Source organism: Homo sapiens, chromosome 1 (assembly GCF_000001405.40).
Source record: "Homo sapiens chromosome 1, GRCh38.p14 Primary Assembly".
In the NCBI taxonomy this organism is placed as follows: Eukaryota; Metazoa; Chordata; class Mammalia; order Primates; family Hominidae; genus Homo; species Homo sapiens.
This window is the reverse complement of record NC_000001.11, coordinates 232,575,553-232,600,694: the sequence shown is the minus strand read 5'-3', so window position 1 is coordinate 232,600,694 and position 25,142 is coordinate 232,575,553. Positions and strand designations below refer to the sequence as shown.

Below are 25,142 nucleotides of genomic sequence, written 5' to 3'. Positions count from 1 at the left end.
ATGGTGACCATTGTTCCCCAGCTAGATCACAGTAAACCACATTATGTCATCCAACAGGCACGCTCCTTAATTTAGGTTATTATCTTTTTTAGAAGTTGTATAAACAGACACCCTTGGGCAGAAAGCAAAATCAAACAAAAAAGCCTGTTTCAGACACAACAGTTTGATTCTCAGTCACCCTAGTAACCCAGTTTCCTCATCCCTTCACACTCATAACTTTCATTTCTCAGCGGGTAAGGCTTTGTCCACATGAGGTACTCTAGCTGTTGGAAGCTTGAAGTAACTAAAATAAGTTAAAAATACCTGATGAAAAATAAAAGGGGAGTATTGATTTTGGCTATAACTTATTAGGGAGGATAGCTGGAAAAAAAGAGTTGATTTTTAAATTCTTGTTTTCAGAATGTGTTTTCTAATTCTGCTACTATAGCACAGCAGAGAAATGAAAAAGAATTTTTTTTTTTGTTAACTGTGTCACCAACACTGCCCCTTCATTTGAAAAAGCAAACTTGCTATCAGTTTATAGCTCCTTCCAGAACTGAGCATAAAGTTCTCAAGCATCCCCAAAAAGCACTGAGCAAAGCCGAAGGTCCTGCCTTCAGAGCCAGTTCAGGACCAAGGGTGCCACTCCAGAAAGGCACTAAACTCTGGCAACGGATTAGTGCCCGTGTTCTGGCAGGAGCCCTGCAGATGGGCAAGCAGAGCCCAAGTCTTTACTTCCTGATCCTTCGTAAATTAGTTGCTAAATTTTTCATCAGTTAGGTCTGGGTAACATACTTTCAGGAAGGCATTTCTTGGACAGGATATGCCTAGGTAGATATGTGGTTAATAAATGGTTTGTTGAATACTTTCGAGCATGCACTTCTGCAGAGCAGACAGATTGTGTTGTAGCAGTCCTCTGGCCTTGCTGTATGTGATTGCAGTCATCTTAGTGTGAGGCTCAGGTCTTGCTAAGAAGCTGTGGGCATAAATGTATCTTACACAGCTTTGCCCGGGGCTACAGCAGGGGAGTAGGAAGCATGATTGGTCATCTCCAATCTTAGAGGGTAGTTCTACCCCACCGTGTAGCCGCTCTCACCAAAACTCACCAGAACTTCGAGGTCATCACAGCTGCTTCCTACTGTGGAGTCACACAGGGTGGGCACACAGGATCTGCACTGTGGATTGGTGGGTTTCTCCTGGAATTGGAAACACATTTTGATTTGATAGCGTACAGAAGATGATGCAACTTCCTGCAACAGATAAAAATTTGCCCTTGGCCACTGTTCTTACTGGCAGATCTTTGCTGAGGAGCAGTCAGCATCTTGCTGTCCTGGATGCCTTGCTGAGTGGTATACTTACAGTGGGGGAATATACAGGTGTTGGGAGCAAGCTTTTGGTTTAGGCTCCACCGTCAGACTCATTAAGCTGTTATTGGCCTAGGCAGAGTGGGTGGTATTTGCAGAAGCTGCGGTGTTCCGGATGATCAGACACCACTGTTTGTTTGTTTTTTTAAATATGTAATCTGAATCCAGAACCCCTGCCCTCATTCTGTCACTTTATAGGGTTTAAGCATAGAGCTGGTTGCTGTTCACCTAATGGATGCTCATTATTTGCTAAGGGAACTAATGTTATTGAATCGAATGGATTTGGGGTTATGAAGGAAATTGCTCCATTAAAGCAGCTGTCGAATTACATTTAAATGCAGTGGCTAAAAAATCGCAGGATTTGGAAGTTTTTTTTTTTTTTTTTTTTGAGGGGTAGAGGGTTTGTCACATACGTAACAGGTTTGTTTCACTGGAGTTGAGCTGCAGCTGAGGCCTGTTTGTCTTGTTCATCTTAGTCTGCTCACCAGTCTCTACTTGCTTGGTCTGAATATTTATATTCCCCCAAAATTCATGTGTTGAAAATCCTCACTTCCAAGGTGATAGTATTGACAGGTGGGGCCTTTGGAAGGTGATTAGGTCATGAGGCCTGAGCTCTGTTGAATTGGATAAATGCCCCTATAAGATGCCCAAGAGAGGAAGAGACCCATGTAAGATGGTGACGTTCTGTGAATCAGAGAAGTGGGCTCTCACCAGACCCTGAATGTGCTAGTGCCCTGATCTTGGACTTCCAGCCTCCAGAACTGTGAGAAATAAATTTCTTGGTTTATAAGCTACCCAGCTTGTGCTATTTTTGTTATAGCAGCTTGAACAGGCTAAGACACTGCATAATTTATTTGTATATTTCTGATGCTTTATGGATGAATCAAAAGACAACAGGTGTCTTTGAGTTAGCTACAAGCTGTCATTTTTGGTTTTCTTTTAGAGAGAGGGTTTCATTCTGTCACTCAGCTGGAGTACATTGATGCCATCACCGCTTACTTGCAGCCTCTCAAACTCCTCAGCTTAATCAGCAATCCTTCCACTTTGTCTTCCCAAGTAGCAGGGACTACAGGTGCGCACCAGCACACCCGGCTGATTTTTTTTTTTTTTTTTTAACAGACAGGGTTTCACTATGTTGCCCAGGCTAGTCTCAAACTCCTGGGCTCAAGCAATCCTCCTGTCTTGGCCTCCCAAAGTGTCAGGATTACAGGCATGAGCCACAGAGCCTGGCCTACAGGCTGTCTTTAAAAGGAACATTGACTAAGCAGAGCAAGCTTCTCTTTGGGAGCCAGATAATGAAAATTAAGAGATCATGGCCAGGCTGAGGATGAGGACACAATTATTGGCAAGCTTTTGTTAGTTTCACATTCAGTCTTGGCTCACATGCAGGTGTGCCTTCCTTTAAGAAAATGTGGAGAACAGGTTTTAAAAGTGAGGTGTGTATTTCACTTTCGAAGTGTTCTTTCGGGTGCCTCAGACTCAGCCTGTCTAAAAGGAATTCCTGTGTGGGGTTCTGATTCCACCTCTGAAATTGCTCAGGTCTCCACTGTCACTACAGGGCCAAGATCAGCCTCTCTTGCCTGGATCACAGTAGGGGCCTGAGTGATTCTTCTGAGTCCAGATCAAATCTTGTTACTTTTTTTTTTTTTTTTTTTTTTTTTTGAGACAGAGTTTCGCTCTGTCGCCCAGGCTGGAGTGCAGTGGCGCAAACTCGGCTCACTGCAACCTCTGCCTCCTGGGTTCATGCCATTCTCCTGCCTCAGCCTCCTGAGTAGCTGGGACTACAGACGCCCGCCATCACGCCCGGCTAATTTTTTTTTTTTTTTTTGGTATTTTTTAGTAGAGACGGGGTTTCACCGTGTTAGCCAGGATGGTCTCGATCTCCTGACCTTGTGATCCGCCCACCTTGGCCTCCCAAAGTGCTGGGATTACAGGTGTGAGCCACCGCGCCCGGCCAAATCTTGTTACTTCTTTAGGTTGATGTTCAGGCCCCTGAGTCCCACCATAGAGGCTGCTGTCACCTGGCCTCTACCAGTTCACTATCCCCACCTTGTGCCTTTTCCTCTGGATTGTTTGTGTTTGGGGGCTGCCATCCAGGCCTGCAGGCCTGTGTGTGTGGGGTATTGATGCCACGTTTTAATTTTGGCTGTATTCATCGGTGCATTGTTAGGTTAAGTGCCCTTTTGGGAAGTGAAATTGATACTGTTACCCATTCACAGATGTTGGGGTTTCTGGGATGCTCATAGAACCCTCTTCCTGCCCAAGCTTTGAAAAAGTTAAAAACCGTAAGGAAAGTGAAAGTAGAGGCCCACATAATCATTTATTATTGATAGAGGCAAGGTTGGAGGCCACAGCTTGTTGTGAAAACCAAATGGTCCTGCCAGCAGAGTCTCAGGATTAGGCCATTTAACTTACTGGGCCCAGGTGGCATGTTGCCTGCACGGTGGCCTGGTCCTTGAGCAGGAGGAGGCCGGGAATGAACCATTTTCTAATCAGATAAGTCCCTGCACTTCTCAGGAGTGGAAGAGTCCCAGAGTTAACTCATCGATCCCCTCACAGGCGAAGCGGGGAAGAAGCACTTCTCACTAACAGGCTTCTCAAAAACTCTTCTTCCCTGTAGTGATTGTTTCAATATTAATAAGAAGAAGCTGTTCTTTCTACAAATAGGTTAACTACTGGAAATTTAATAGAGTATTTATTTAATTCAAGGAGCTAAACATCTTACCCTTCCTTCATATGAACATTGATATTTAGAATATATTTATTGACAAAATGATAAAACAAGAAATATTTAACAGTTTATTTTTCTGTAAGCAATTCTAAATGTCTTATAATAGCATGAATAAATTCAGCAACCAAAGAATTATGTTAGGGTCCTTCCTTGTTGGTGATTTGGGGCCCAGTTCTGCTTTGATGGAGCTCTCCTGTGAAGTTAGTTTCAGCAGACGATGCCTCAGTGGCAGTGTGTGTTTGAAATTCGTTTCACATGTGGGAAACACATAGGGCAGTTTTCTTATAGCATGTGAGTGTTGGGGAGGCTTTTCTAGTGTGATGTTCTGTATGTTTTGTGTTGTTTCATGAGGGAAAATGGATTTGAGAGAGTGAGCGGTGAGCTAAGAGCATGCAGTATATTCAGGGTAAGCCTGAATTGGGCATCAGCAGAACCACTTCAAGACTAGCCCTTTGACTTTCCGGAATCCTGGTTAGTTTTAAGCTAGAACCTTCTTTTCTTTCTCCTCTTCTTTGTGTCTAGCCTCCACCCTCACCCCCATCTTCAGCTTAAAACCTCTTACAAATAGCATCCCAAAGGCATCATTCATGAGGCTGAACAGTTTTGAAAAGAGCAAGGGAAGTTACTCACTTTTTTCCCAGTGAGCTCTATGGGCAGTGGAACTCTAAGGTAATTGTCAACCATTGTGGAAAGCAATATTTTCATTTGGTTAACATATTTGGACCCATTCGATCCTCGGTACTAGCATTAGAAAGATGATTTCCATCTATTCCTAATGAAAATAGGTTTTATTTCTTTGAAACATTTAAAGGAACAAAAGCTTAAATTCCAAATATTCCTAAAACCCTAAAAAGGGTTTCATTTTCGAATGAGCATTGGAAGAAAATGGTCATTTGTAGCACAGACTCTACCTAAACATAGTCCACCATTCCCTCCCTATTGAAAGTTAGACAGTTCATATGAAAGTCAGGAATCTGAAATCCTCTTTGGTTGGGGGAGCACAAAAGATGACTTTTGCAGACCCAGAGCAGAGTTTGAGTCGGGTGGAATGAGATTAGTGTGCTGGGGGGAACGTCCGGACCCCTGGCCTTCTCTCCTTTGTGAGGAATGTGACAGCTGAAAGGAGTCAGAAGCCGCCCGGTGCAGCAGTGACAGCCCAGCAGTGACAGCCCAGCACAAAGGGTGGTGTGCTTTCCGACCTCTGGCCGCCCTTTGCTAGACCTTCAATTGTAGTTTGGGGCCCAGACTTTGCATTTTTCTCTTTTATGGCTTAATTTAATTTTATTTCAACCAGTTTATTAGAGTGAAGGCCTTCTTTGTTGCCCCGAGGCTTTGTGCCCATTGGACTGGAAATTAGATGAGCTGGGGGTAAGTATTCTTTGTATGCATGAGAGAGTTGGTGACTGGGAAGACACTGAGGGCCAGACCTCACTAGCCAGTGGACCAATGATTTCAACCTAGCAACATCACTTATTACTAAGGGAAGGGGCAGTTGAAAAGTGGTAAGCAAGGTAAGTCATCACTAGCAGCTAGCCACGGTTGTGTAGCTGTTCCTGTTCCTCCGAATGGGCACCTTGGCTGTGTTTCTTTTGTGCCCTCTCAAACTTGGCTCCATATTGGAATCACTGGGAGCATTGACAACAACAACAAAAACAGATGCCTGGGCCCCTGCAGAGCTTCTGGTTTAATTGGAATGGGTGCAGCCTGGGTGTGGGCGCTGCAGATCTTCAGGTGATGGTACAGTGTAGCCGCAGTGGAACACCACTGGCCTGCCTGAGACCTGAGGTGCTTGGGCATTACCTGCAGGCTTTATAAAAAAGTTAAATGGTGTTAGAATATTTCAGGGGAGGTTCTGATTAGATCTAAGAATAAGCATATGAAATTTAGAGACTAGGACTTTTTAGGGTTGTTGAACTGGAAAAACTTTGGTGGGAACAAGGGAGCTTATTGATTTTTAAAAAAAAAACTTAAAAAGAATAGCTAGAAAGAGGCTGGGTAAAGGGGCATTGAAATTGACTCCCTTAAGCACTGGTCCCAAGATATTTGTTTTTCCCAGAAGGAGAGTGAGGATGGAAACTAAAGAAATAAAAACTGTCTGGCCATAGCTACTCCAGACAGAGCGATGGCTGTGGGTGATGATGAGCATAAAATGAGGTGAGGGCAGGAGTCCCCGCCCTGGCTCCGCTCGGTGTTCACTCACGTCTCTCCTGTGTGCTCATCTTTGACACCAGCTCCTCTGACTCAACTTTTCCCCTTGTTTTTACTCTCTCCTTAGCACCAGCTGTTGATTTTTATTCCTTGCTTTTTCCCCACAGCCAGCTCTGCCCGTAGCAGCTCTACCACTGTCTCCTTTCCCCTCTGGTGGCAACGCTCTCCTTTGTTCATGTTTTACCTTCACTTCTTATGTTATCAGTTCCATGGAATCAGTAGGAGTCACACTCTACAAGCCTGTTCTAGTCCGACTGGGCAGATAGAGTGAGGTCATCTCACTCTATCTGGAGAGGAGACTGGAGGGGAGTGCTGAGGATGCTGCCAGGGTGGGGTTTTGAGATTTAATAGGGGGCTAAGGTCAGGCTTGTCGGAGACAGGTTAGAGATTACTAGAGGGTCAGAGGTCCCACCGCTTGGGCAGGAGGGCAGGAGCCAGCTGAGCAGGGCTGACTGAGGGGCCTGAGCTTGCCCTTGTGGCTTTGAGGCTGGGCCATTTAGACTGTGCCTGCCCAAGCAGGGTCTGCCCTGGATGTCCACGGAGTATAAAGAGGCCCCTTAGGTGAGGGCGGTACAACCATTTGCTGAAAGGTGACTTTTCTAAAGACCTGTTCCTACTTTGAATATTGCTTATTTGACACGATTTAAGTGGGATGTTTTAATTTTTATTTATTTATTTTTGTGTGTGCGTGTGTGTTACTGAGAATTTGTATCTTTTCATTTAATTTCAACAACTTGTTGGAAAATGCTGGCCACTCTGACTTCTAAGATACTTAGTGACATTTTATAGATAGTTTGGATTGTTTCTATGTAATCATTTGAACAAAACCATAACAAATCGTTTTATGAAAAGCACCCTGGAGATGGTAAATTCTGAAACCAAACTAAAATTGGTTTCAGAATTCTTATTCTGCGAGCTACATTTAAAAAAATGTAATGTCTCCAGATTAGGCCTTAAAATGAAGCGCCCCCATTAATATCCTGCTTATGTTCAGGAACATCTAGAAAAAGGTGTCAGTGCAGAAGCTGAAAGCACACAGCCCGTGCGTGCTGAGCGGGTTCCTCACCCCAGCCTTTCTCCCAGGCTGCAGAAAGGACTCAGGAAATGTGGCCCATCATTATTACTTATGCTTGTTAAACAGGAATTGACCAGATACCTCATTTTAACATTTTAAAGATATCTCTATGAGAGAGTTGAATATTTGACTTAGGACTTTTAGAAAAATATATATTATTGTTTTTCTTAAATGTGATGTTTTGTGTTTGTTGTAAATACGTGATACAATATGTAATAATTTATGCAGCCCTTGAACACGCTGTCTTCAGAGTCGTTTTGCAGCTGCTGTCTGAGTTTCCTAAGTCATTTGGATTTACTTGGGTGTGTTCAGCCCAGATAAAAATGTGGATCTACCTGAATGTGTCCAGCACCTGCACCACTATTAAAACCGAGAATTTCCTGAGGTCAGGAATTACAGGGAACTGATTCTCTTCATTACTTGGGACTAATTTCCCCTTCTTCCATTTTTCCAGTCGTACAGCAGAAGACTATGAAATAGAGGATTTAAGGAGAGAAGAAAAGGGCATTTTCACCTTTTTTTTTTTTTCCTGTGAACATTCGGAGAGGATAAACTGAAGCTTGAAATATTAGTGCTCATTTTAATTTTATATTAAATTAGTTTTATTACAAGTTTTCTAAGGTTCTTTATGGAAAGGTTAAAAAAGATTTGTTGTTGTTGTTGTTTAGTTCTAGAAAACCTGGCAGTTTACAAAGTTTTGGGGTAACAGTAAACTTTCCTTCCTTTGATTCACTAAGTTTTTCTTAGTCTTTCAATACCTGAGGGCCAGGAGTGTATAGACTACATGATAAATCAGTTTTTTATTTTATTTTCACATATAAACCAGAGTTAATTTGATTTAAGATCAACAGACTTGATTTATAAAAGAATACTTGTATTTTTAGATCTGAACATTTTAGGTGGCTACAATTTTACCCCAAATTAAGAACCTTTGCAAACCAAGTGGCAGGTGGTCTCATTCAGCTATACCAGTTGAGATGTGTTTACCTCTGGAGATGGAGTGAAAGAAATTGTATCTGGCAGATAGCGGAGGAAAATTGTCTTCATGGCTAATTATTCAGTGACTTCTATCTATGCAGCTTCCCATTTTAATTCTGACGGTAAGTGTCTGCAAATGTCTGTGCTAAATATTCCTCTTGCTTTCAGACAGCCTCTAAGTAAGTGTGTGTGTGTAAGAATTGATAACTTTATATTTTTTTCCTCTCTTTTCTCTGGTAGTTTATTTTTAGTAGTAAAATAGTGGCAATGGATAATTCAGTCACGTTTTCCTTCTTTTTCTTATTCTGGTAGCCCCTTCCTAAGAGTGATTAGTGGGAAAAAAAGGGACATAAGGGCTCAGTCCCACTAGAAGCACCCATAGAAGTGGCCCTTTATGATGGCAGGCGGCACTTACAGGCTTAGGCTGTTGCCATTTCAACTGTGTTCTTATTTTTTTAAGCAAGAGTCTCAGCCAGTTCTAGTAAATTAAAAATTAGAACATAAGAAGTGAGGAACAAGAGTTCCTCTTGGGCTGGGATAAACTGGATTTTGAAGTAGAGCAACCTCCGTTCACTGACTCCTTGGTCAGGAGTTTATTGGTACAAGGGCTCGGAAGCATTTTCCTCTCTCCTTGTCATAAGGTACCGCATCTTTTTGATTTTCTTAGACTCTGCCCTAACATGGCCTCACTAAGGAGACTAGAAAACTGAGAGAAAACCTTGCCAGTCAGTAAACTGCATCACAAGGCCTGAAGAGAGAGCTTAAAGGCAACACACAACAAAAGGCAGAGGTGCCAGATGGCTATGCCATTCTGGGTTAAAGGTTAAACCTCATCCTCCCTGGAGACCAGCCAGAGGCAGCCACATTCCTGGCCCTGGTGGGGGCTCCTGGCCCAAGGGCTCCACTGCCCATCCTCGGCAGACCCAGGGAGGAGCTGGGTTTGGTGTAGAACAGGTAATGGGCAGCACAGTACTCATGAGTAGCAAACCTTACAGGACTGATCCCGTCATGACCAATATGGAAATGTCAGTACTCGAGTACCTGTGTGTGTTGATCTTCTCTCTGAAATATAAACAGCTAAATTATTTTCCAATTTGGTCAAGGAAATAGGGAATCACATGTGAACTATTTTTGTAATAGGCCGAGTTACTAATTTTTGTTTAACTAACTCTTTCCATTTAAATGCTTTTTGGCTGTTTTGTCATTGTTCCTATGTGGGCTGCTATTTTCAGATAGGGTGCTGGAGGTCAGTAAGGCCAAGAGAGACGGTGAGCACTCATCACTGCTCCCCTGTGTTGGCTGCACTCCGGAAAATGGGCACACACCTTGAAATCAGCCGTGTTCTGATTTACCCGGCTTTCCGTTAACCAGCCCTTTAACTTGACCAAGGTTTATTCCCTTTTGTTTGCTGTAAACTATGTTGAGGAAACTCTTACAAAGCACAGTCCTTCCTGTTTGTATTGTCTGCATTTTAGGTTGATGGGGTGGGTTTCATTTCTCTCTTAGAGTCACTTCTCTAATCCAGTTTCTTTTGTCTAATGCATGGTAAAGAATTCACTGTTCGATATGACTGACTTTGGTCTGCAGTTAGTTGGAAGATCTCATATTCTTTCACTGCAGGACAATTTTTTTTTTCCTTTTTTTGTTTTTTTATGGTGGTAGAGATATTGGGAGGAATGCAGGGATGGAACTAATTTGTGTGTGGCTGGTTGCATGGGCGAGGCCCAATGCCATGTGCTTCTCTAAGCCATGTTCCCGTTCAGGAAGTAGGTAGGGCCCGAGAGCTAGGGTCTGAATCAGCATGTGACATCAGGTCCACTGTGTTTCTCCTCCATACCCTCTGCTTTCCAGAAAACAGTGTGTATGAACTCCAGCTCACTTTCTTCCAGCAGTCTTGTTAAAATGCTGGTGCTATCACTGAGTTAAATTTCTTATTTCTCCTTCAACTTTATTAAGTTTGGTTTAATTTATTTACTTTCTTCAGACTCAAGTTGTATACAAAAATAAATGGAGCTTTATTGAATCTCACTGCGCAATTGGTGACACACACCTTTTAGAGAAATAAAGTCAAGAGTCATTTTTATGGGGCATCTTGAGATAAACTCTTGAGGGGTTTTGTGTAGCCTGCGTGGGAGGGCCCTGGAGGTGGAGGTGAGAGACTGTGGGAATTGGGGAGGTGAGGACTGTCTGTTCCATGATGTGCTCCAGCAAGGTGTCTGGGGACTTGACTTCCCTTGTGGGGAAGAGGATAGGAGAGATGGAATTCCCGGATTGCGTTGCTGGATTGCAGGCACACTCCAGTGGGCTCTGGAAGCCCTCAGAGGAACCCTTGACTTGAGATAGAGCGATGACTTCCTGTTCTGTGATTCGTCCTCCTTGGCTGGATGGTTTCTGAACTGCTGCAGGAAGTGTCTGTTTAGTTGTGCAAGTATTGTTTCAGGAATTAGAAGTTGTGTTTCCTTTCCTGAAACGCATATGCCTTACTATAGATAAGGAGATTCTTTTTTCTTTTTTATAGTTCTTATACCTCAAGCATGCCATTTTTCTAAACAGGAGCCTATATGTGAATGCACTTATCAGTTTTCCCCTGGGTTCAGTAAAATGGATTTGTCTTAGATTCCTGTAGTAAAGTTGTTGACAGAGAGTTGAGGGAAGATCAGCTGAAAAGCATCCAAGTGTGGAATCCACTGGAGAACAGTGCTTTGCCCATTTAAGTGTCTGACAACTGAGTTATTTGTAAGTTATGCCAAGGATATTTTTAGAACTCAGTATCTTATCCTTAGGTTACCAATTATTTTGATTCCCCAACAGACTCCAAAGGGTACAAGAGAAGTGAGATTGGAAAAAAGAATTTCTGCGAAGAGAAGCTCAACTGAATCTTAACTATGGTAATTAATTGGCAGAAAATCAATAATTCAGTGAGAAGCCTCTCAGCCAATGGTGGCAAAAGACAATGTAGTGAATGTTAGTGGATTTGGGAGAGTATACAAGTACCAGTGAGCTAACTGGGTGAATTTACATACTGTGTTACCGTAGTGTTACACAAGACTAGTCATTTGGGAAATTGATGGAAGATTAATGGAGATCCAAATGTTTAAATAGTTTAATCATTGTCTGACCCTAAAGAGAAACCTCAGTGAATACGTATTTGGCTTAATGAATTGAAATGAAACTGCGTTTTGTCACCCGATGGTGAGGAAATTTTAGCTCACCTGCTTTATGTCTCAAATTCTTTTCCATAAACGTGCCCCTGTGTTTCCTTGAGGGAACTGCCACCTAAATGTTTCTTTCAGATAGTGCTTCTCAATTATTTTAGTCTCATGCCTTTTTTTTACACTCTGGAAAATAATTGAGGACTCCAAAGAGTTTTTGTTTATGTGAGTTCTATCAATCACATAATCTACCATATCAGAAATAAAAAAGGGATTTTAGAAATCATTATTGAATTTAAAATAACAATATAACCACCTGTATGTTAACATAAATAATACTTTCGTGAAAAATAACTATTTTCCAAAACTAAGACACTTATTGAGAAGTATGCTTCGTTATTTTTTGCGAATATCTTTAATATCTGGCTTATTAGAAGACAGCTGTTTTCTTGCCTTGCATCTGCATTCAATCTGTTGTGATATGTAGCTGTGGTTGCCATCCAACCAAAGAAAACCTAGCCTCACACAGGTTTGTAGTTGGAAAAGGGAGTGCTTGAATTTCCTTTCAGATAATAGTGGATCTTCTTTGATATAACACTAGAGAAGTGGTATCTCAAAGTTTGGTCGAGATGTATGTAGATCCTGAAACCCTATCTATGAACTTTAAAAACTCTGTTTTAGGTATTATTTTGAATATCATGCATTGGCCACTTAGAAAAATCTCCCAAATGTTTATATATTTCACTTGTAATATCAAAAATTCTTGTCATGAATCAGAAAATTCTTAAGTGTAGGGAAATTGTCAAGATCACAGTGGTTATTCAAGTTTTAAGAAAGTCTAAAATTTTCATAAAAGCTTAATCTTACTGTTTTCCTCGAAAATGGGCCTGTTTTGTTTCTTTTCTTTAAAATGCCTGCCAGATAGCCTTGTCGGAATAACCATTGTTTATATATCGCTCTGTCAAGTACAAGGTTGGGTTCAATGAAGAAAAGTGGCTCATCACCTCATAGGTCCACCCCACAGGTGCTGACCCTTGCGACAGCCACCAGTATATGCTGCAACAGGGCTTTCCCTTCCTTCACACAGAGTCATAGTGTGTGTGTGCTCAAGAGTCAAGGCGTAATAAAATCAGTTTTTTACTTCTCCATTGTATTAGTCCGTTTTCCTGCTGCTGATAAAGACATACCCGAGACTGGGCAGTTTACAAAAGAAAGAGGTTTAATGGACCCACAGTACCACATGGCTGGGGAGGCCTCACAATCATGGTGGAAGGTGAAAGGCACGTCTCACATGGCGGCAGATAAGAGAAGAGTGAGAGCCAAGTGGAAGGGATTTCCCCTTCTAAAACCATCAGATCTTGTGAGACTTATTCACTGCCACAAGAACAGTATGGGGGAAACCGCCACCATGGTTTAGTTATCTCGCACTGGGTCCCTCCCACAACACGAGGGAATTATGGGAGCTACAGTTCGAGATGAGATTTGGGTGGGGACACAGCCAAATCATATCATCCATCAAGGACAATAAGTGAGGTGACTGATCTCTTCATTTATTTTAACTGCAGTTATGTGGTAAGATGACAGCTAGTAAGTACAGTGTGGGGCCACTGCCTTGCTGTGTAGTAAGGTACACACATTTTTACATGCTGTTGCTCTTGTACTGTTGATGCTGTACAAAAAGGCAAATAACAGCTTTAGAATTCTAGTTTGACCTCACAGATCCAGTTGAAGAGCCTTGGGGATCCTAAGGGGCCCGTGGTTCATACTTTTTGAGAACCACGACTTTAAGACATACAGGAAAGGTGCTAAATGAGACAGAACTAGACTTGACTCGTTATGAACTTAGTATTACAGAAATGGGTCAGATACCTCATACGTGTGGTGATAGACGTGTGGGGCCATGTGGGAGGGATGTGTAAGAGAGTTCCTGGAGTGTGGCACTTTGACTGGGGCTGTTGACTCCTGTGTCCTGAACATCTAAATCTGTACCTGGTGTATCAGTTCATACTTTATGTAGCAGTTTGAATAATTAGGGCAAGTGTAATGGCTGCATAAATTCATTAGTTTTTAAAAAGTCAAATGGGTTTTGTGTTCATAATAAAGATTAGTCAAGGTAATCTTTTTGTAGTATAAAAGTAATAAAGTTGTGAAATATAGCTGCACAGCCCCTCCCATCCCACCTTCCTGTGATACCGTCATCCTCAGTCTCCCTACCCTTGTATGTCTGTTTCCTATTACCATCAAGGCCCATGACACCAGCTGTGTAGACATACTCCAAAAATAATAGACGCAGTCTTTATCATTATTCACTTAAAAAGCCAACCAGTGTTCTTTCCCCTGATTGGGAATGTGCCCAGTATGAAGGGACAGCATCACATTGGTTATGTAATTGATGCTGTTTGTGACAAAGACTCCTGTTTCACTCCTGTTTTCCCAGCAGTTTCGCATTGTAACTAGGTAGTGATGATGTTTGCTTGTTTTCTGTGTATGAAGAATCACAAGTGTGTTTTTCTTGGGTGGCTCTAGAAGAGAAAGCTTTCATGCCTAGAAGAATATCTTGTTATTTCTATAGAAGCTTTTTAAAAATTCTTCATTAAAAGAAATTTTAAGTCATTTAGAGTAGCTGTTTTTGTGTGAGTTGATATTTTGACCCATTTTATTTTTCTCTTCAGTTTTCTGATTTGTGTGATTACGTGACGAGCTCTTCCTGTGAATCTCGAACACTCAGGTTGGAGTCGTTCGGTCTTTGGAGCCTTTTGGGAGGAAGCCAGGTGCTCTTCAATTGCCCTTTGCAGTAGGACTCCCTGGTAATAACTGTGGCGATGATGAACTTGTCTAGATAAAATGACATCTGATAAAATATTAATAAATACATTGTAGTGGACACCTGCTTCTGAGGATGTGGATGTGTGAAACCTAGACATTCAATTTATGAATGTCTTTTTAATTGACTCCTCTGGACACAGAGAGAGGACCCACATGATCACTGAGAAAATATCAGAGTACAGGTGGCAGAACTGTGGCAGAATCCCCTGTGCAAACTGTATCGCTGTGCGGAGACAGAGCTAACAAACAGGGTCTCAAGGAGAAACCGAGTCTTGTGCTTTGCTTTCATGAGGGATTTTTCTGAGTTAGCTGATGAAGCCAAGCTAAGTAAATATTATCTTCTTTTTGTGTTGGCCTTTTGTTTTGAAATATTCCAACTCTATTTCCTTCATAGTTTTCTCTTTATTGCTGTTATTATTTTTACAGATTAGAGGTACCACCTTTTCCAGTCTTGCTCATCATGGTTTTTCCTACTTCAAGCTGTGAACTATTTAATTCAGTTCAGCAAGCATTTTTGGAGTGTTTGCAAGTCAGTAGCTGTGTTATTACCAAACCTGCCATCTTGACTTTCTGCTGTTGCTATAAGCCCTTTGATTTGCATGTTCAGTATCAGCACTCTTAGCAGCTTCTTCTCTGTGTTTGCCTCCCTTGGTAGGTTTTTAGATTAAGGGAACCTTGTTATGGAGAATGAGGCTTCCAGGATTGGCCTTCTTCCTCCTTTGTTCTCTTTGTATGGTTTCATTGTTCTACTTTACCCTTTTACATGTGCACAGAGCTTCCAGTATCAAGCTGTTCCTTGGAGTAGGAAGTAGTTTTGGAGATGAGAAACACAGAGAGAGGAGGAGAGAGAATATTAGAGAAGAAAATTATTCTCTTTGGATCAGTTTCCATTAGGCATTAACCATTGGCCTGTCCCTTTCCCCACTGCCCCTTAGACACTGTAGGTCTTCATCTGTGCTTATATAATGAGGTCTGAATTGTTCTGTGGTGATCCTATGACCATTTCCATATATGAGATTGTAAATATCTTCTTTTACTGTGGGGAGAAAGGCACTTAGCTAGAAAATAAGAGTAAGCCTCCAGAAGAGTATATTCTGCTATGTTTATAGAACTGTCATCTTTGGTTCTAATACATTGCTGCTGAGAAAATTGATAGAAGTTGTGTTTACTTGAATACAGCAAATTACCCAAATGGATAGGTAAAGATTATTCACTTTTATTACATTTCAAATGGTTTCATTGTATTTCCCCAAATTGTACATTTATTACAGAAGTTAGCTTTGTGTTTCTACTTTTAGGTGTATAAAAATCAAGATCTCTACCCCAATTGAGGAGATATATAATGGTTTAAATCTGAACACTGTGAAGTAATGGGGGCTTAAATGAAATATCCCCTTACTACTTAGTGAATGTTTGATGTAAATCAGCCACAATACTTCCTCTCTCCCCCATATATGGATGGCAACATAGTTATATAACCTTCTAATGATGGATTTATTTATTCTCTTCCAGAAGTGCTCAAGCCTATTGCAGACAAATTTCTACAAATTTATTTTTCCTTTTTAATTTTTCTTCTGTCTGGTTGACCTAACTCTTCACAGGTTTCCATCTAGCGTTTTGTATAAGTAGTCATTTAAGTATGATTTAAGAAGTTCATCTGAGAATGGATACTTTCCCTTTGTAGGGGCCAAGGGAAAACTTCCCTGTCACCCTCTGAAAGGTTCACTGAAAATCATTGACAAGAGGTAGATTAATGAGAGGAAAGGCATACAAATTTGTTTGATCACATTTTTATATCACATGAGAGCCTTCAGAATGAAGACCCAAAGATACAGGATAAACTGTCCATTTTTATGCTTAGGTTCAACAAAGTATGGTCAGCTGTGCAGAAATATGATTGGACTAGGCCAAGATGGGCAGATCACACGGTCTCTATCGAGACCATCCTGGCCAACATGCTGAAAGCCCGTCTCTACTAAAAATGCAAAAATTCGCTGGGCGTGGTGGCATGCACCTGTAGTCTCATCTACTCGGGAGGCTGAGGCAGGAGAATCGCTTGAACCTGGGAGGCGGAGGTTGCAGTGAGCAGAGATCGCACCACTATACTCCAGCCTGCTGATAGAGTGAGACTCCGTCTAAAAAAAAAAAGATTGGACTAAAAGGATATGATTGATTTCTAACCGACTGAATGGGGAAGCCCAGCAAGGCCTGTCTGTCTAGAATTCTTCTTGGCCTCTCTGAGTATGTTCTCCTTCCTTCTGGGTATGGTGCAGGACTCTCTTTGGAATGGGCATCTTATGATCTACAATCAAACATGGTAGTTCAGATAATTTCTTTATGGCCAGTTTTTATACAGAGAGCGGGGAAGAGTTAATACGTTTAGGTTTTATAGCTAGCTTTGGGCAAAAGGGATTCTAGTTTCTATGACCTGTCTTTGGGAAGAGGGATTCTAGTTTCTATGGCTTGCTTCGAAGGAGAATGAGAGACCAGAGACAGGAGGGCAGAGAGAGCTCCTTCTGAGGCCTTTGTTACATCATTTTCTGAGCCCCAGCATCTTTCAGTGTCAGAAACAGAGATAGTACTATTAGCAGAGTTATCAGTTTGAGACATAATTACCTTTCATGGACACCTGTAGTTGTTTGAGTGAATTTAGACTTCCTTAGTTTATTACAGTTGCTTTTAGTAGCTGTCCTTAAAATAGAGAATATTCTTGAATTTAACACATACAGTTTATTCTCTCCTCTCTTTATTGATTTAATGAGTACTATTTCAGGTTTATAATAGAATTCCCCAGTCTTGAAATGTTTATGGCATTGAAACATCATTAAGTTAGAGCTTTATTCAGCCTACACAGAGAATGGAGGACACTATGGTTTTCACTGTGCTCCATTTGACCATGGATGGTCTTCAGGCTGTATCACTATTCAACTCTTAAGATAACTAATATAAGCTACAACTTTAATGAGTGATATTTTCTCATTTTTAGTGTTTTGCTTGTCTACAAGCAGATGGTAAAAGCAAACTAGTAAATGATGGAAAAACCTGTATCAGCTATATATGCTAAATTTTATGTCCTGTTTTTTTCCTGGATAGTCGTGCTTGTGATGATGCCTATTACTTCCTAACTTATATCTTTTCTGCTAATAAAATTGTCCCTGCTTCCCATACTAAAATGATATCATTATTTGTAATGTTTTACAAATTGGGTGGAAGAGGTGTGTGTTCACCAAGCAGCATCATGACTTTTCACTGCTCCACCCTTTACCCAGGCAAGTTGGAAGAACAACTATTTGAGTGTGAGAACAAGAGCACCAGGACAAGAAGCTGGAAAAATAAATAGGAGATATTGCTAGTGGCCTGGTTGCCTTGACTAGAAATTTGCGCTTTGTGTTCATTGTGGAGTAGTTAAAGCTTTTTAGCTTGAATTTAGCAGGGATGTATTGGTTTCCAACGAGTCTTCCTTATATATCTTGTTTGTGGGAATTACTGAAAGAGCCACAGAATTTTCAACACCACATGGAGGCTATCCCAATAATCACAATAACTTAATTATTTATTCTTAAAAGCTCAGAGAAGAATTAATGTAAAAAATTATGGGAACCCTTATACACTGTTGGGGGGAATGCAGATTAGTTCACCCAGTGTGGAAAGCAGTTTGGAGATTTCTCAAAGACCTTAGAACTACCATTCGACCCAGCAATTCCATTACTGGGTATATAACCAAAGGAAAATAGATCATATACCAAAAAGACACATGCACTCTTATGTGTATCACTGTGCTGTTCACAACAGCAAAGACATGGGATCAACCTAGGTGCCCATCAGTGGTGGATTAAATAAAGAAAATGTGGTATATATACACTATGGAATACTGTGTAGTCATGAAAAGAATGAAATCACGTCGTTCATACCAACATGGATGGAGTTGGAAACCATAATCCTAAGCAAACCAATGCAGGTATAGAAAACTAAATATTACATGTTCTCATTAATAAGTGGGATCTAAATATTGAGCACCTATGGATGTAAACATGGGAATAAGATACTGCAGACTAGTAGAGGGAGGAAGGGAGGGAGGGAAGGAAGGAGAGGATGGGGTAAAACACTATCTCTTGGGTACTGTGCTCACTGCCGGGGTGCAATATACCCATGTAACAAACCTGCACATGTACCCCCTGTATCTAAAATAAAAGTTGAAAAAAAAATTATGGAAAAAGCATAGACAGTGAATGAAATTAATCATGACATCATCATCAACAAATGTTTCTTGAATGCAACAAGCTTGCCTGCTTATTCATTTCACCAACCATTTATTATTATGCATAAGGCTTCTGCCCATTAAGAATTCACAGTTGAAGGTTGCAGACATATCTATCAAGAAGTTACATAAGAGACTGAAAAATGTTCCAGCAAAAGGTACAAGTAGTATTCTAAGTGAGTAGTAGAGAGGAAGAGACACTTTTCTATCTAGGAAGTTTTTCTTTAACAGTTTTTCTCTTGGAAATGTCTGAGAAAGTTTTGTGGGGAATATGGGGCTTTTAGGCGCAAAGGATGCTGTTTATTTTGGGTAAGGGGACGTCTTGATAGAAGGGACAGAGGCAGGAACCTTTAGGGCATATTCATCTGGGAAAGGTCATTTAATGTGTATTCTGACTGTCAGGTAGGGAAGTTGAGTTACGAAGGTACTTGGGCCATATTAAGGAATTATTTGAAGGTTATTTTGAGATTTAAGTTACACATAGTATAGTTTTGAACAGATGTGTCTGTGTGAGCTGTTGGTTATCAGTCAAAGAAACTCAAAGTAACTTAAGCAAAAAAAGAAAGGCATAGCTCAAGTAACTGGGATGTTTAGGGGTGGCATACTACAGGCATTGTTGGATTCAGGGGCTCAAACATTGTCAGAAGGCCTCTTTTTTCCTCTCTCTCTCTGTCCTTGCTCTGCCTTCCCTACGTTGAGCTCTGCATAACAGCCCTTTCTCTGTGATCTATGAGACAGTGGCCAGCGGCTGCAGCCCACACCCTCCTAGCTTAGTTCCTTTGGCAGAACTGAACTTCTTAAGATCCCGACATCATCCCAGAGAAAACCGTATATGACCTTGCCATGGCCTGCACATATCCTTGAACTAGTCACCGAGCTAAGGGAATGGTGTGCCCAGAGCAGCTCAGGGGACAGCATGACATCAAGGGCAGGGATGGTTCCTTACAAGAACCAGAACGGAATGTGGGAAAGGGACACGAGGAGGACAGAAACTTTAGGTGCCATGGTTGCAGCACAAGAGGGAGGGTAAGAGAAGACTGGAGCTGTTAGCCCAGGTCAGGAACATGGGTGGAGGAGGAGATTTGTCAGGAAGGATGCAGACTCCATCTTCTGCATGTTGAGTTATAGGTGCTATGGGCCATTCATGTGGCAGTTGGCTGTGAGGGCACAAAGGAGAGGGATAAAGTTAGTGTTGTAGCAGAATAAAGGATTGATGGTAAAGAGAGTGAAGGGAACCAAAGTATTTTATCCTGAAATATACTTTGACATATTTCAAGATGGCTATTCACTGGGCTTGAAATGCAAGAACAGCTGAAAAGCTGTCTTTTGTAGGGGAGATTTGCATCTGTAGGGAATCTGCATTAATACAGCCAGGCTTTCTCTAAGGCCCTCCTTTGTCCTCATCTAGGCAAGATTAACTGAGAGTCTGACACCTATAAAGGTCTGAAAAAAAATTTACCATCCATTCTGTCTGAGGGCTGCTACCCATGTGAGGTTTCATCTGCATCATGAGGCAACCTTTGCTAGCCAGGACTCCTCCCCTTCCCATAACCTGTCCTGTCATCATAACTTGAGGTACCATCATAACCTGTTTTTGGCCATGCTCCTGTCAGGCATTTTAACCAGAGTGATTCCATCTTGAACAGGGGCTGAGTAAAATGAGGCTGACACCTACTGGGCTGCTTTCCCAGGAGGTTAGACATTCTTAGTCACAGGATGAGACAGGAGGTCAGCGCAAGATATAGGTCACAAAGACCGTGCTGATAAAACAGGTTGAGGTAAAGAAGCTGCCAAAACTCACCAAAACCAAGATGGTGACAAAAGTGACCTCTGGTCATCCTCATTGCTCATTATATGCTAATTATAATGCATCAGCATGCTAAAAGACACTCCCACCAGTGCCATGACAGTTTACAAATGCCATGGCAACACCAGGAAGTTACTATTTAGTCTAAAAAGGGGAGGAACTGTGACTTCTTGGATTGCTTGCCCCTTTCCTGGAAAACTCATGAATAATCTACCCCTTATTTAGCATGTAATCAAGAAATAACTATAAGTATACTCAGTTGAGCAGCCCATGCTCCTGCTCTGCCTGTGGAGTAGCCATTTTTTAATTCTTTACTTCCTTAATAAACTTGCTTTCACTTTACGAATTCACCTCAAATTCTTTCTTGTGTGAGACCCAAGAACCCTCTCCTGGGGTCTGGATCGGGATCCCTTTTCAGTAACACTCCAAGCCCCCATTCTTTCTGTAACCTCAGAAAAAGCTTCACCCATCTGGCCATTTCTTTAAGTTCTTTTGTTTTGTGAGACTTCTGTTCATATTAATATATTTGCTTTTTCTCCTATTAATCTGCCTTTAGTTGATTTTTCATCGAGCTTGGAGAGTGAAGAGGAAGTTTTCCCATGGCTCCTGCAATAGCATGGAATAGGGAAGCTCACTGAGGAGCATCAGAGGTTAGATTAGATTGCATGAAATTGCTGCTTTTTTAGGTCAAAAATAGAGAACCATTGGTGGTTTCATATGGTTCAACCTATTCTATGGATTCCCTTATGGGAATGGCTGTGTTCTTCCTTCAGCAGACACTTGCTTATCCTGTAGGAAATGCCCTGCCTCCCTCCTCTGTTCTTCTTCTCTTTTGGAAAATATGTACTGGGAGCTTTTTAAGTACAGAGCATGTGCTTAGTCCTGGATATGTGGTCATGAACTGGACCTTGCTGGTGTCTAGAGTCTAGACCGGAGTGTTTTGGGGCTAATGGAAAACTCTGAGGTGTGGTGGTGTGGGGCTGCAAAACAAACACAAACAAAAACAAAAAGTAGCCTTTTTTTTTGATGCTGGCTTTCCCCAGATACTAGCAAATCCATCCTAACAGTAAGTAGAGAAACGGAGCTTGATGGAATATTTGTGTTCATTTCAGTGGAAAGAAAATGTTTGCCTTCACTTTCTCAGAACTTTCTTTTGCGGAGAAAACAGCTGATGAACCTGCTGGTAAGAACAAAGAGCCAGACCTCTGTTTGTCTGCAAATCTGGTTTTCACACAGAGCTTCCTGATGAAGTGTGAGGAGCCTCCTCGCAGTGATAGACCAGGGAACAGGGGAGAACCTTTCCCCCTCACACTTGGCATCCCAGCACCTGGCCCCAAGCTCTGTTGCTTGAGAAGATTGTGCTGCTGAAAGCTCATTTCTTTTTTTCCTGTCTAAAGGCAAAACAAGGTAAAATACAATAGCCAGTTGCCTCATATAAACCACCTGCTTAGTAGGAAATGAAGTAAAACTCTGCAGTCCCTATTGCTACTTGAAGAATTTGTGGTTTCCTTTCCTGTCAGTAAACAAAAGCCGTCAGTTAAAAGAGTGGAACATTAATTGTTTACAGGATGTTTGCTGTAACAAAGGAAGGAAAAGTGCCTTTTACAGACTGTTCATTGTGTTGGGGATATTACAACACCAAGTGTCTCTCCTAGAGAAGAGACATTAAGCATAAGATATTTAGTCACAAAACACAGACTGTTTCATTAACAGGACTTTAAAAGACTTATTTTGTAAACTCAAGTTGAGGACTTCATAACGTATCGGCATAAAGAATATAGATGAGAGTAGAAAGCTTCCTTAGAGAAAAAATGAGATCCCAAAATTTTGAAAAATACTGATGCTTCAGAGGCTTTGAGGTTTTTTAAATTGTAGAATATCATGCCTTTTTTTTTTGTAAGAAACATTTATCTTTTATAGTTCAGTAATGTATTTTACCTAGGCTTCCGCACGTTGCCTTTCAGTACAGGCATACTTCGGAGGTTTGCTTATTTCCCAGACAACTGCAATAAAACAAATGTTGCAGTATAGCAAGTCACACAGATTTTTTTTTTTTCCAGTGCATTTAAAAGTTACAGTTACGCTATACTGGAGTTTATTAGGTATGCAGTAGCATTATGTCTAAAAAATGTGCAAACCTTAATTTAAAAATACTTTTTGCTAAAAAATGCAAATGATTATCTGAGCCTTCAGCAAGTCAGTCTTTTTGCGGGTGGAGAATCTTGCCTCAGTGTTGATGGCTGTTGACTGATCAGGGTGGTGGTGGCTGAAGGTTGGGCTGGGTATGGCAATTTCTTAAAATAAGACAACAATGAAGTTTACCACATCAATCGGCTCTTCCTTTCATGAAAGACTTCATGCTGTTTCATAGCATTTGACCCACAGTAGAACTTCAAGACTGGAGTCTCTCCTCTCAAACCCTGCCAAGTTTATGTAATTTCCTAAATCCTTTGCAACAATGTTCATATCATCTTCACCTCCATCTCAAGAAACCAGTTTCTTTGTTCCTCTACAAAAAGCAACTCCTCATCCATTCAAGTTTGATCCTGAGTTTGTAGCAATTTAGTCAGATCTTTAGGCGCCAATTATAATTCTAGTTTTCTTGCTATTTCTTCCTCTATTGAAATGTTAAGCCCCCACCCCAAAGTCATCCTTGAAGGTTGGAGTCAACTTCTTCCAAACTCCTGTTAATTGTTGATATTTTGACCTCCACCCATGAATCGTGAATGTTCTTGATGGCATCTAGAATGGTGATTTTAAAAGGGTTTCGGTTTACTTTGCCCAGATCCACCAGAGGAATTGCTATCTGTGATAGCTATAACATTATGAAAATTACCTCTTAAATAATAAAATTTAAAAGTCAGATTTACTTTTTAATCCATGGGCTGCGGAATGGATGTTGTTAGCAGGCAAGAAACAACATTCATCTCCTTGTACACCTCTGTCAGAGGTCTCGGATAACCAGATGCATTGTCAATGAGCAGTAACATTTTGAAAGGAATCTTTTTTTCTGAGCACTTGGTTTCAATGTGGACTTAAAATATTTAGTAAATAATGCTGTAAACACATGTGCTGTCATCCAGGCTTTGTTGTTCCAATGATAGAGCACGGGCAGAGTAGATTTAGCATAATTCTTAAGGGCCCAAAGATTTTTGGAATGGTAACTAAGCATGAGTTTCAACTTAAAGTCACCAGCTGCATTAACTGCTAACAAGAGAATTAGCCTGTCCTTTAAAGCTTTGAATCCAGGCATTGACTTCCCCTCTCTAGCTGTGAAAGCCCTATAGGACGTCTTCTAATAGAAGGCTGTTTGATTTACATAGAACATTTGCTGTTTAGTGTAGCTCTCCTTGTACCTCACAAACCAGCCTCTGCTACCTGCAGACTTTTCTTCTGCAGCCTCCTCACCTCTCTCAGCCTTCATTGAATTGAAGAGTATTAGGGCCTTTCTCTGAACTAGGCTTTGGCTTAAGGAAATGTGGCTGGTTTCATCTTCTATCCAGAACACTCAAACTTTCCCCGTATCAGCAACGAGATTGTTTTGCTTTCTTATCATTTGTGTGTTCACTGAAGTACCACTTTTAATTTCCTTCAAGAACTTTTCCTTTGTATTCGCGACTTGGCTGTTTGGCGCAAGAGGCTTAGCTTTCGGCCTGTTTTGGCTTTTGACATGTCTTCCCCATTGAGCTTAATTGCTTCTGGTTTTTTATTTAAAGTGAGTTGTTTGACTCTTACTTGAATACGGAGAGGCTGTTGTATGGTTATTAATTGGCCTACGTTCAATATTGTTGTGTCTCAGGGAATCGGGAGGTCTGAGGAGAGAGAGAGAAATGGGGGAGGCTGGTCGGTGGAGCCATCAGAACACAATATTTATGGATTAAATACACTGTTTTATATGAATGTGGCTCATGCCACCCTAGAACAGTTACACTAGTTCCATCCAAGATCGCTGATCACAGGTCACCATAACAAACATAAAAGTAATGACGAAGTTCGAAGTATTGTGAGAATCACAGTGTGACACAGAAACACCAAATGAGCACTTAAAAAATGGTGCCGATAGACTTGCTCCATGCAGGGTTGCCACAAACCTCCAGTCTATAAAAGACACAGTGTCTGCAAAGCACTGTAACATGAGGTTCACCTTATACCTAGTACTGTGTCTGAGTCCCTGACGGTACTAGACGTCCACTGATGTTACGTAGATTGAGACTGTTGTGCAACCATCACCATCATCCATTTTCAGACCTCTTCATCTTGAAAACTCTGTATCTATTTAACCCCATTTCCCCTCACCCCAATCCCTGGCAGCCACCGTTGTACTTTCTGATTTTATGAATTTGACTTACTCTACATACCTCATATAAATGGAATCATACAGTATTTGTCCTTTTTGTGACTGGCTTATTTGCTTAGCGTGGTATCTTCAGGGTTCTTCTATGTTGTAGTTTGTGTGAGACTTTGCTTCCTCTTTAAGGCTGAATAATATTCCACGGCACGTATTTCCCATATGTTGTTTTCTGTATTCATCTAATGGGCGTTTGGGTTGCTTCTACCTTTTGGGCCACTGTGAATAATGTTGCTGAGAACAGGGCTGTGCCAGTTCATCTTCGAGATCCTGCTTTCAGTTCTTTTGGCTGTATGCCCAGAAGTAGAATTGCTGGGTTATATGGTAATGCTGTGTTTAATTTTTTTTTTTAGGTACCCACTATATTATGCATCAGATTTTTAAACTCAGAACTGTCTACATTGGCTACAAAAATG

At 41.2% G+C, this 25,142-nt stretch overlaps 1 protein-coding gene across 10 annotated transcripts in view, besides 1 other annotated feature; it reads left to right on the top strand.

The window, feature by feature from the left end:
* Positions 1–25,142, top strand: part of SIPA1L2 (signal induced proliferation associated 1 like 2) — a 232,532-nt gene that overhangs the window by 29,802 nt on the left and 177,588 nt on the right. Inside the window, exon 1 of one of the 10 annotated variants that reach the window (XM_047426143.1) lies at positions 1,268–5,442. The exons of 8 other annotated variants lie outside the window; for them this stretch is intronic. The gene's annotated coding sequence lies outside the window, so the exon portion shown is untranslated. Of the gene's footprint in view, positions 1–1,267 lie in introns of those variants that run through there. One more of the 10 variants, XM_047426139.1, reaches the window with a different exon arrangement.
* Positions 9,241–9,741: an enhancer, noted in NCBI's record as "H3K4me1 hESC enhancer chr1:232726700-232727200 (GRCh37/hg19 assembly coordinates)". NCBI's record gives its function as "activates a minimal SCP1, AML or CMV promoter by ChIP-STARR-seq in naive H9 embryonic stem cells {active_cell/tissue: H9 hESC(naive)}" and the evidence as "EXISTENCE:reporter gene assay evidence [ECO:0000049][PMID:30033119]".